The 12,896-nt window shown below is 36.7% G+C and overlaps 1 protein-coding gene across 15 annotated transcripts in view; it reads left to right on the top strand.

Moving 5' to 3' along the window:
- Positions 1-9,102, top strand: part of CNTNAP4 (contactin associated protein family member 4) — a 283,357-nt gene extending 274,255 nt beyond the window's left edge. For 13 of the 15 annotated variants that reach the window (NR_136216.2, NR_136213.2, NM_001322189.2 and 10 more), the window contains 3 exons: positions 1,628-1,846; positions 2,181-2,252; positions 6,835-9,102. Coding sequence is in view for 12 of the 15 variants with exons in the window: in NM_001322189.2 (NP_001309118.1) it covers positions 1,628-1,846; positions 2,181-2,252; positions 6,835-7,028 (485 nt within the window). In the remaining 3 variants the exon portion in view is untranslated. Of the gene's footprint in view, positions 1-1,627; positions 1,847-2,180; positions 2,253-3,291; positions 3,434-6,834 lie in introns of all 15 variants that reach the window. The other 2 variants (NR_136210.2, NM_001322188.2) reach the window with 2 other exon arrangements.
- The last annotated feature ends 3,794 nt before the right edge of the window (positions 9,103-12,896 follow it).

Below are 12,896 nucleotides of genomic sequence, written 5' to 3' on the forward strand. Positions count from 1 at the left end.
ACTGTTCCATTTGTGTGACTTGGATAATATACTCCAGTGTCTACTGTAAAGTTTTATCAGTAGCATGCAAATCTTTTAGAACACTGGCTAGCACATAATATACACTCATATATACTTAATATCCATTGCATTGTTTTTACTTTTAATTTAACTTAACTTCCTGGGAACGTAGATTCAAGTTGCCCTGAATATACACTCCCATATTATTATATTTTCAAAAGAAAGACTAAAGTGCACATTTTGTCTTTCCCTACCTATATACAGTGCAGGGGAGAATAGTTGTATTAGTCCGTTCTCACACTGCTATAAAGAGCTTCCTGAGACTGGGTAATTTATAAAGGAAAGAGGTGTAATCAACACAGTTCCACATGGCTGGGAGGCCTCAGGAAACTTATAATCGGAAAGCAACTTATAGGCAGAAAGCAAATTATAGGCAGAAAGCAAAGGGGAAGGAGAAGCAAAAACCTTCTTCACATGGCAGCAGGAGAGAGAAGAAGGATGAACTTCCAAACACTTATAAAACTATCACATCTCATGAGAACTCACTCACTATCACAATAACAGCATGGGGGAAACTGCCTCCACGATCCAATCACCTCCCACAGGGTCCCTCCCTTGACACGTGGGGATTATGGGGATTACAATTCAAGATGAGATTTGGATGGGGACACAGAGCCAAACCATATCAATAGTTGTGCTATTTTTTTTTATCACACTGGGTGGATGGATGCATTGTATTTTGATGACATCTGAGCCTTCAAAGCCTATGATAAATTTCTCTTGTTTAGATTTCATGCTTGCTAAGCAAGGAGTATGTATAATATATTCCTAAGTTAAAATTATAATTAATATCCCAGCATTAAAACCAATCTCCGTTCCACAAGAGTCTCATACTAACTAAATTCTTATTAATAGGAGGAAGAGATTATCTGTCTTTAGAGGGCACAGATATTTCTGTCCCAGTGACAAGTTGTCATTGAAACAAGAAGAAAAGACATAGGGGTATAAAGGGTTTTATTGCTGTACATGAGTAATTAGGGAAAGACCCTAATAACTTCGAGGTATGGCCTCCACTGCATGATAGTATCATCCTCCTGTTATGTTTGGGTGGGGCCATAAAATATCAGAAAGCTTTCAGCCATAACAAATTGTCGGGTTGGGCATCTGATAACAGAAGTCCAGAGGCTCAATTTTCTCTCTAGTTTCTGTTACTTTCAGGGCATAAGTCTTGAAACCTGTACTGAACTTGTTTTCAAATCCAGGATGTACCTCTTGATATTGACTACAAGCCCTATTGTAAATACATTGCAATAATCTATATTTAAATTAAAAGTATCATGACACCCTCATCACTTCTTAACCTGACCCATTCTTATGCTTTGTTTCTAGGGAGCTTACCATATCACTTTTAATAATCCATGCTTAAAAACTTGACTTCATTAACATTGGAAATCTTACCAATAGTAGTGGAAAGAATAATGGATTTTTATCTTTTTAGTAAAGATAAAATTAAAAAGGAATTTAGTAACTTTATTGCTATTGCATTAGCTCAGAATCCTCAATTTCTGCATCATCGCCTATTTTCACTTTTCACTACTAATATTTCGGTGTTTCTTTGAATTTCTAGAACACAGTGATGTGGACCAGGATACTGCACTGGCAGGTGCGCAGGGCTTCACAGGCTGCCTCTCTGCAGTGCAGCTCAGCCACGTGGCCCCTCTGAAGGCAGCTCTGCACCCCAGCCACCCAGACCCTGTCACTGTTACAGGACACGTGACTGAGTCCAGCTGTATGGCCCAGCCTGGCACTGATGCCACATCAAGGGAAAGGACACACTCGTTTGCAGGTGACTTAGAGTTCTTCCTCTACTCAGTCACAGACGTAGCTTGTCCATGGAATTTAGAAAACTTCTCATGTGGCTTTCAGGCTACCTTCTCAAGATGGCTTCTTAAAGTTGGTTTTGTTTGTTTAGCTTTTAGTTCTCCTTCCCATATCTTTTCTAGGTGCTCAACTTCTTATTTATGGGGGTCATTGCCATTGACATTGCTTAAATTGAAAATAACAGAGATCCCACATTCGCCTCCATAATTCTCTGTGGTTTAAAACATTTATGATGTTTTCAAAATTTCTTCTTTTACTTGCCTATATCACCTTCCCCCTTTGTTGTGCTTTAACTGCAGATCATTCTGGAACAATAGATGACAGAGAGCCCCTTGCTAATGCAATCAAAAGTGACTCTGCAGTAATTGGAGGTAATAAGAAGCATGAATGAGCTCTTCTTTGGTTGTTCTTATTAATAATGATGATGAATATTTAGCATTGTAGAAACTGTGAAGAATCTGCACATACTCCAAGTGCCAGGCACTGAATCCTGAGGTCATTGGGGTGATTTACTATTTGTACTGGATTGTCTTTAGAATCTTTCTGAATTCTCTGCTTCCTTGGAGATTTTCAGTATAAATAATTGACAATTTCACTGAAGCATGGCACTCAAAGATTAATTGCTAACATGTGTAATAATGAATATTATCAAGCTTGAACATAGCCACAGGTAGTCACTAGAGAATTGTGAATATATTTGAGTAAATTTCGTTTTTCTTCACTTCTTGGACATATCACTGCTTCTGGAAAGGTTCATGCAAAAAGTAGGAAAAACCTGAGATTAACACTAGAAGCATATATTTTGTATTGCCTCAAGGCTTAATAAAGATGCTATTTGCATAGTAAACTATTTAAAGATGCTTCTATCAACTAAATATTACACTTTCAGTTGTATTTTTATCAAATATTAGATTAATGAACTAAAAGTGATTAGTAGTAACTTTAAATTGCAGAATTAACACAAAAACTTTTAAAGTATGTCTCCCTGGAAATGTGACAGCATATTCTCTGATATTTTTTTTCAAAAGCAACTCAAAAAACAAGCTTTTTTTCTTCTTGATTAATGCTCTTAAGAATGTTATTAATCAGATTATTGAAATGTTAACTTGTTCACCTTTCTTTACACTCTGAATATGATACGGATATAGAAAGTAAACAATTATTCTGTTGCATTGCCAGGGAGATACAATTTTAAAGTTTTTGTGCCAGTAATATGATTATTCATATATGAAATATGAATATTTCGTTTGCAGGTGACTTAGAGTTCTTCCTCTATTCAGTCACAAACCCAGCTTGTCCATGGAATTTAGAAAACTTCTCATGTGGCTTTCAGGCTACCTTCTCAAGATGGCTTCTTAAAGTTGGTTTTGTTTGTTTAGCTTTTAGTTCTCTTTCCCATTTCTCTTCTAGGTGCTCAACTTGTTATTTATTCATATCATATATGAATAATCGTATTACTGGCACAAAAACTTTAAAATTGTATCTCCCTGGCAGGGCAACAGGATAATTGTTTACTTTCTATATCCATATCATATTCAGAGTGTAAAGAAAGGTGAACCACTTAACATTTCAATTTGGGCAATTTATGTGGCTTTATACCTGATTCATTTGGATGTATTTTTTCTATTCATCTAGACATATATTGCTTTCAAGTAGTTAGGATTTTATTTGGACAGCAAATAATACCAGTCAAATCTTTGTGTGGATATTAACTCCCCCATGCTATTTCAGTTGCTTTTCTGTTTCTCAAGTTAATGATGTACAAATTAAAGTTATAAAAAATAGGATTCCCATTTAATCACCAAACATGCAAAACAAAAAACCCAAAACAAACAAAAAAACTCTATTTGAAGAGGAGTTAATAATTGTATGTCTAAAAGAAACACGTTATACAGTAAAAACTCACTTAAAGCTATAGTATTTACAATGTGTCCAAGAGTTTAAGCTAGAATTCCTGGTCAAGCAAGTTGTCTCAGTCTTATAATATTGCTTTTTCCAGACATTCAACCAGGATAGATTCAGGTAAATACAGATACAGAGACAGATAGAAATATAGAGTGGTATATAGTCATCAAGCCAATGCTAGAACAAAATATTTAATCTCTAGACTATTGTTGTTTTGCTCAAACATCATTGGCAAGATTTACAGAGTTAAACAAGAAGTGCATTGATAAGTCATCCTAAAGTTATTCTAGAATAGAAACAAGTTACAGTTCATCTGTGAAATTCTCACTTAGCTCAAATTCACAGGACAGAAACAATATGGAAGGTTTGTAGTTCAGGGGCTTGCCAGGGTCCCTGAAACTAGTGATGTCTGGTTTTGGTCATTGCAGAGACTAAACTTCAGAAGCAGAGCATCTGGTAATGGCCATGTAACCTCTGAAGGCCTTGTCTGGGCCACACACAATTTATTTGCTAAATCATAATGTATCGTCCTCCAGTGTGTTACACAATCTGGTAGAACTGTGGTAGAATCCTTTGTTCATTGTCTAGTCACTCATAAATTGCACCCACTATGTAATAATAATTAACCCATCCAAGGATTTTCCAAATTGGCTAATCCCCCTATGTTCTACATCTTAGATGATTTTTTTTTACTTGCAAAATGAATGGTATAAGATGGGATAATTTATTTAATAATACATTTAAAAGTGGTGACCCAGATGTGGTAGGGGGTTTCTGGCCAGGCTACCCAGATACAGATAGATTTAGCCAGAGAGAAAGCTATATATATACATCTTCATAAAAGCAGATTCACACAGTGCTTTAGGTGCAGCATCATAGAGGCTGGCCACATTTTATTCATAATAACTAATTTATTTTTTATTTTTATATTTTTGGTATAACACGTGTGATCAAAGTTTTTCTTGAGCACAACAAATCCTGACATAGCACTTTCCCCAAATTAAGTGCTAAATTACATACATGGAACAAACAAGTTCCAGAGGCCATCCCTGATTTTGACTGTCTGGATATTCTGTCTCGGCCAATGTAACATTCATTTTATAATTGTAGTTGTCTGCTGTCTATATCATATTTCAGAATTTTTCACATTGAAATTGTTCAGAATCTTTCTCTTCAAGCCAGAGGCCTATAACTAGCCTGTAGAAATATTTATAGCAATTCAACTGTTTATTTTTTCTAAAATGAGAAGCAAAATATGTAACAACAAATATTCTGATTAAAGTTATTCATTAATTAATATGACTAATAACAAAAGCAATCATATTTATTAATGAATTCTTCAGATTTCATGTACAGAATTTGGTTACCACATTTATATTAATCAGCAACGATTTTCTACCTGTCTCAGGTAAGGCTGACCTAGCCAAAAATTGGCTTGGCTATTGGACGTGCTCTAATTGGCCAGGGTGAATCGGCCTAGCAGGTTATATGCACAGGAATCTGTTGTGATTAATAAAAACCTTCAAATCTTTGACTTCCTCGCACTCCGTTACAGTTGTATACATTTGCTTTAGAATGGAGTCTTAGTTTTACCATATGAGATTTGATTCACATTGCTATTTTCATAGTACCTATTTTTGTCTTAAGAAAATGACATTAGTTTGTACCTTCACTGATCTTATCAGAAAATTCTTTAAGTATTAGGCAACTCTCACACTCTTGGCGGCAGAAAATAGTTTTCCAAATTCAATTTTTCATTTGAAAACTTGAATTTTATCTTTCACAACATATGCTGTGTAATTGTTTTTCTTGAAGTGACACATTTACTTCATTCATTTTAGAGAAAATGTCCACCAAATACCCAAGTCTGAACAACCATAGTTTGTCTGTTAGTCATTCTTTCAAATAAAAATGGTGTTACATGAAGCAAAAAGCAACTAATTCAGTTCACAACTCAAAGGTTCACGTAAGTGCTTTTCCTGGAGACAATGATCAGACTTCAGAGTGCACCAGAAGTACTTTATTTCTGTTTCCCATTTTAACACACAAAATGTTAGAAAGTCTTGCAGTCAAGGGTCAAGATTTAATTAAATGAAGAGTTTTTACAGCTTCATTAAGGAGATTCTTAAATAAATTTGGCTTTTTATTCCTTTTCCTACAATTGTCTGGCAGTGTAATGTTTTCTACTTCATGAATTCAATGATTATTATTATTGTTTTGTGTCCTTGCGTTAATTTGTGCTAAGTACCAGGAATTTTACCTAACTTTGTTTTATACCAAATTTGGTTCCGTATTAAAATGGAAATGGAAATGTCAACAGAGTGAAAAAGACATCTTAGAATTATCATGAAATAGTTTTGAGCCCCTGTGCCCTCTCAAAGTGTCCCAGGGACCACTACACGTCTACAGATCACACTTTGAGGACTACTGACCTAATATAATGCCAGCGTTGGTAACCATTGACATAGTTAAGAATCGCAGTACTTAGAATTTGTATTTACAACTAGAAGTGTTAAAACAACATTCCTCATATAGAAATAATTTAGGCATATTTGTATATGTGTTATTGGTCAGAATGATTTATTTACATAACCCATTTCTGCTGTTCAGCAGTATAACAATTGAATAACAATTTCATTAAAATGTTTACATATTTAATCACAAAACAGTTTAATCATTTTATGATGTTGCTACTACTCCATAATTTCAAAATAATTAAAACTAATATGAAGTGGCCACATGGCCACATGGTCCTAGAGACATATAGTTAATACCTTGTGTTAAATATAAATGCACCAAGTAAATCCGATATAATATGCATTCATAATAAATGTAGGTGAACCCACAAGGCTGATAGAACTCAGAAATAAACTCAACATACAATAATACTGCTTGAGCCAGAAATACCTGAAGTTTTTATATTTCCAATTTATATGTAGTAGATGCTTAAAGTGGAAAATAGTGTTATGATGACTTATTAAGCAATGAAGTCAGCACAGTTTCTATTTGGACAGAAATTCTGACTTTATATTTCTTTTCTCTCTCTAGGTCTGATAGCTGTTGTGATTTTTATCTTGCTTTGCATCACTGCCATAGCTGTTCGCATTTATCAGCAGAAAAGGTTATATAAAAGAAGTGAGGCAAAAAGGTCAGAGAATGTAGACAGTGCTGAGGCTGTTCTGAAAAGTGAGCTTAATATACAAAATGCAGTCAATGAAAATCAGAAAGAGTACTTCTTCTGATTGGCAGCTATGATTTAACATAAAATTATGATAGTTTGTTTTAATAGCCAGGGGTTCTCAATGGAAAAACGAATGCTCTTACACTGAATGTACAGGCAGTGGGCTTGCAGCACTGCCATCTTGCCATGTACAGGCTTGGGGTGGCTCCAGGAAGCCTCGTCCAGTGATATATTTCTCATAGCATTCATTCTATGGAACAAGAAATTAGATATTGCTGTTAATTTTCAACTGTTCTGGTATGATCTAAAACAAGTTTAACCTGCTTAATGGCTACAGTTTTTACATGTGAAAACTGTAGCCTTGGTCTCTTAACCATGTAATACATAAGTTTTGTTAGAGGTAAAAATTAAATTTGGACTATAATGTCCTTGCTTTATTTGAGAACATTTGCTGTGTTTGCTTTTGTCTCCTCGTGGTGTTATTCATAGACCTGGAAATGCTTCTCAGATCCTGTGTGGCCGGTGTTTGCATCTTCAGTGGCCACAAGCATAATAAAGCCCCTTTGCCTTTCTCTGTATTATATTCAATACAATACATCAATAGTCTTGAAAAATGTTTTGCTGTCTTTGCTTTGTTTGTATTGCTCATTATTCTATTTGTCTCTTCTTAATAATGTTGAATACATTTGGTTTTGAGTCTCAGACTTCAACTCTGAACATACAAGTTGTATTTAACAAGACTCAGAAAGTGCAGTGGTTGTTAGTATGTAATGTCTTTCCTTTTAAAAAAAGTTTTCCAATTAATTTGCTACCATTGTTTGATGGTGACAGTACTTAAGACCCTGAGTAATGCCAGTTTCCCAAAGAATGTAAAATGTTTTCAACTAAACTGTTGATATATTAAAAAAAATTCTTAACACAGCAAAAAATTATTATTTAATTTACAACTGTAATACCTCAAATGAAATATACTTATGAGACTATTTTGCCCAAACCTAGATCAGTCCTTTATTGGTTTACATTTCTGTTTTTCTGAAGTTTATCACAAACTTCGCCTTGATCTTCAATGATTATACTTCACGAATCATCTTATATATTACCAAAAAAGAGACAAATTGAAGTATAGAGCCCCATTTCCCATTCTGAAACATATACCCCTTTAGGTGTACATTTTGCTGTGCATAGACTTCCAGTACATACTTTTTGAAATATGAGCTGCAACCATCAGTGATCTACACAATCAATAATTAAACAATGCACACTCTAAGGGGAGATAGCATATTAAATGATCTACTGTGAATTTGTCATTCCAGACACTTCTCGTCTGAAACGATGGGGTGAATTTCTCAAAAATTACCAAGAATCAATCCAACTTGCTGAATGGTACATTCTGATTAGGGTGTATTATACACTAGGAGATCAAAGAATGATCAATAACCTTATGGAACTGTTACAATAATTAATCTTGAGACCATGCATACAAGGAACTATCTTTGAATTCTGCAAGCCAATCATACAATAAAGGCACTCTATTATACATACTCACACCTTCAAGTGCCTCCCAAGTAACTATTGGATTTCTTAGTTTGTCTACACCAGAAGAATCGGGAAATATGTAAATTTAGCATTACTATCATCTTATTTTCTATATTTTCCTTGTTAACTCTTCTTATAAAACCTGCCTCTCTTTTCTCATAGCACTATATCCATATTGATGTTTCTGCAAATGCCTGACTAAATCTTAAGAACCTGAATTAACATAGTAGTTTACGAAGGACTAAGGACCTATGTTGGTAGATGGTATACTCTTTGTTTGATTGGAAGATCTATGGTGACAAGGGAAGGATTTAACATAGAAATGGCATTATTTATTCGATGCAAAGCTGAGTGCAAACATCATTATATCTCTGAATCTTTTGCAGATGTTCATGTTATTTAGTAGCGGTATTAACCTCATTGGTAGCTGAACTCTAGGGAGGTTTATTGGTGAAGCCTCACAGTCCTCTGTGGTCTGCACTGCTAGAGACTCAACATTATGGCATGGAAATGCATTGACACATCCTATGCCATGACTTTAATTTCCTGATTTGTAATCTCTTATTTTATCATTAATAAAATGCATTTTTGAACTAAAATGCAAAACAGAAGTCAATCATTTCAAAATTATCTTTCAGTAGATGTTTTTGTCCTTCAGAACAACAGAGTCACTCATAGAATTGGACAGCACTGACATGATTTAGTGTGAACAGTTTTACAGATGAAAAGTCCAGGATGCGGATATATCAATTGACATTCCCAAGGGGACATGTAACATTGTGTAAGTGTTGAAGATGTGACTACAATGTCCTTTTTTACTCCACATGATATTGATCTTCCAAGACCTGGAATTTTGACAGTTATTTAGTGGTGTAGAAAAATCTGAAAGATCTTGATACTTTCTTTGTCCACAATGATCTATAGTTCTATAGCTTATCCATTATCTGTTCTAAATGAACATCAACCTTTATTTGATAGGTCATTGCTGTTGATAGGTTTGCCTTTCTTTTAAAAATATTTGGTAGGTTTATGACCCTTGACTGCAGGAGAGACAATTATTATCACTGGAGCACTTTTATGTAGGCTTTGTGAAATCCACAATAGGAATTAGATGTCACTGAGGGAATCATCAAATATTTTCCTCCTGATAGAAGGATAAATTAGACACATTCTAAATCAATGCATGTTCAAGCGAATTGTTTGATTTTCAAACTCATGTATCAACTAAATGACAAATCGACTAGATACCTTCAATATATTCTGGTTGTCTTTCGCTTTTCCAAAGTCTGGATGGGAGAGAGTGGTAACGTGGAGGAAAAAGTTCAGAAGCTGAATGTCTTTGTGTTGGGGATGTGGGTGGGTGAGCACATTTGTGTGTGCAACAAATAATAAGAAATTAAGATAAGGGAACAACATAGTGTACTTACAATGTGATTAAGAAAGCTGGAGCTTGGCTTTGAAGATTTGCAAATAAAAATAAAAGGGGATGGAAAATAAATCTGACTACAAGTATAATAACTTTTCCAGTACAATCTTTAAAAAATCTGTTTTTCTATTTTAACATTGTCTTTATTTATTAAAAATACATGCACATACTTAAAAAATCAAATAGCTCAAGAAAGCTTACAAAAAATATCTTTCCATTGCCAGATCCCCTTCCCAACACTTAAAACTCTTTCAACTGTGTCTTTCACTGTCTCTGTGTTTATAAATAACCAGCAGCTACAGGTTAGGTTCCCTGGGAAGCAAACTTTGAGACAGAGATTATGCTGGAAGAAATCTGTTAGGGGCTACTGTAGAGATCAACGCCTGTTGAAGACAGAATGATGTGGGGTGGGGCAGATGGAGAAGTAAAGCTGTGGTATGGTCACAAGAAGGGATCAGCCGACCCTGCTGACATGGTCCTTTAGTGACATACAGAGTTAGGGTGGATGAAATGGGAATTTATACTTCTGCATTGACCAGGCATTGGATGTTAACTTCTTGATGAGGTGGGCATGAACTTGGACAAATGGCTCTTTTCAGCTTAGGTGGTTCCTGAAGAGGGAGGACAAACATCACCAGCAGCCGAGAAGAATAAATTGCTGAGTCCTGAAATAGGAGTCTCAGTGGCACAGTACAGCATCTCTGAGGTTCCCCCTTGTGCTAACCAGATCCACCTGCTTCATATGAGTTCTGGGAGTAGCTCCTTCAGAATTCTAGTGAGCTTCATATCTTGGACAGGAGGGAGTAGTATGGAATAAACCACAGACCCTACCACTGCAGGTAGTCTCTCAGTTGTAGCTTGTACTCATCTTTTTCCTCCTCTACCATCCACACCAGCTGACAACACTACAAGGAGTTTGAACCCTTGTCTCCTATGACCTTCTCAGGGTATATCTGCTGTACTTTTGCAATTACCATTAAAATTGATCAAAGAAGTATCAACATGCAAAGCACATTTCTCCCTTCCTCAGAGTGTAATTTCACCTCCCTCACTTATTGTTGGTTACAGACAGTTACTTCTCACATACCCTCTCAGAAAATCTTGAATCGGTGAAAGATCCACATTACAGCAAAGGATAAGTGGGAGTGGGCACATTGCCATGAGATATGCTGGTCCTGTCACATTCCACACCACCAGAGGGGCTCTGTAGACCCTCAACAGGTGGTGGTGGCTGATGGCTTGCAGGCAGTAAAGACAACCCAAACCTGAAGGAAGTCATAATTCTTACTACAATGAATCTCTGTCCCTTTCAGAGTAGAGGGATCTGATGTACTCAGCTTGCCACAGAATTTATCTGCTGGTAGAGAGAAATTATTCTGGGGGATGAACACTGGTCTCTGTTGATCATTAGGACATTCAGGAGTGGTAGTAGCTAGATCAGTCCTGATGAGCGGGAATGCTCACTGCTTGTCTATGAGTAGCTCCTACCCCTGCCTGCATGGCTACTCTGTTCATATGCTCATTGCCCCAGCACTTTGGTGGCCAGTGATTGAAGTTGGTTTAATGCCAACCATGCATAGGTCATTCTATCTACTAATTGTTGTTTAGTGATTCTTCCATGATTCTTTCCATGGTGGGCAAATAATTTTATGCTTTATGACCACTCCCATAGGTCCATTTACATGCTTCTACTTCAGACCTCCTTGTTTCCAATCTTCCAGTCTCTTTCTAGGTCTCTGACAAACTGACCAACCTACTGCCCATAAGTCCATATAGCATATAATATAATTTCATATGTATATATAAATTATAACCTCAGTCTATTCGTTTCATGCAGAGTGAATGAGCATGGGTGCCATGCAAATGTTCTGCCATTGGGAGGGCTTTTCCTCATTGCCATCTTGTGATGCCACCCTAATTGGCACTGTAGTGGTGGCATTTTCCATGTTCACCTTGCACCCATATTCCAAGTCAACCCATCCATGCCAAGATAAGATATTTCCCTTCTCCAGCAGTTGATGGTAAGAGACCCTTCATGCAGCCCTAGGTGTAAGCTGAGGGAAAGGTACTGTTGGGACAGTGGTGGATCACAGGGGTCTGGGCTACTGGCTTATGCAGCTTGCTGGCACCTGCTCATGCTTGGCTCCAGATGCATCATTTCCAGTTGATGATGGCTTCCTGCTGGGCCCAGGTAACTTTATGACTTGGTGGACCTGACAGAACCCAGCTCATTATGGGCATTTCTGCCCATATTTGCTGTGCCAATGTGATGTAAGGCATTTCGTCTCTAGCAGGGCCCAATAGCAAGCCTGGAACCTTTTTAGAAAGTTGTGTTTCTCTACGCCAGGTGACCTGGCACTGCTATAGTTCCCTGAGTTTTTCAATGTGATGTTCCCACTGGTGACTTCCAGTGAAGTCTACATAGCATTATTTTGACCATTGCTCTGTTCCAATATAACTTTATTCACTAAACACGTAGTGGGTCAGATCTGGCCTACAAGCCATAGTTTTCTGATGTCTTCTCTAAACCACTGGATGTCTAATAATTGAACTGATTGGGCAGCCAATATAGCAGACCAGTGTTTTCTGCAGAATTGTCCACATGACACTTGTCTCTTCAGACTGTATCAGGACAGAGAGAGGGAGTAGCCTTGGGGCAAGACTATTTGTCCATTCCAGGTAAATGCAAACTGTTTCTAAATTTCTTTTCTGATAGGTTTGGAAAAGGATATATTGTTCAGGTTGTTTAGTCATCTAGTACATACCTGAGACCATGTTAACATGTCCTAGCTAAAGAACCACATCTGATACAGCAGGTGCAATTGGGAGTTCTGCCTGTTTAAGTTTGTGGCAGCCCATTGCTGTTCTCAGCATCCTCTGGTTCCTTCGGGGGCTAGATCAGAAAATTAACTGGAGGTACCATGGGGGCCACTGACTTTGCATGTTTTCAATCCTTAAGGATAGCAT

Source organism: Homo sapiens, chromosome 16 (genome assembly GCF_000001405.40).
Source record: "Homo sapiens chromosome 16, GRCh38.p14 Primary Assembly".
Lineage (NCBI taxonomy): Eukaryota > Metazoa > Chordata > Mammalia > Primates > Hominidae > Homo > Homo sapiens.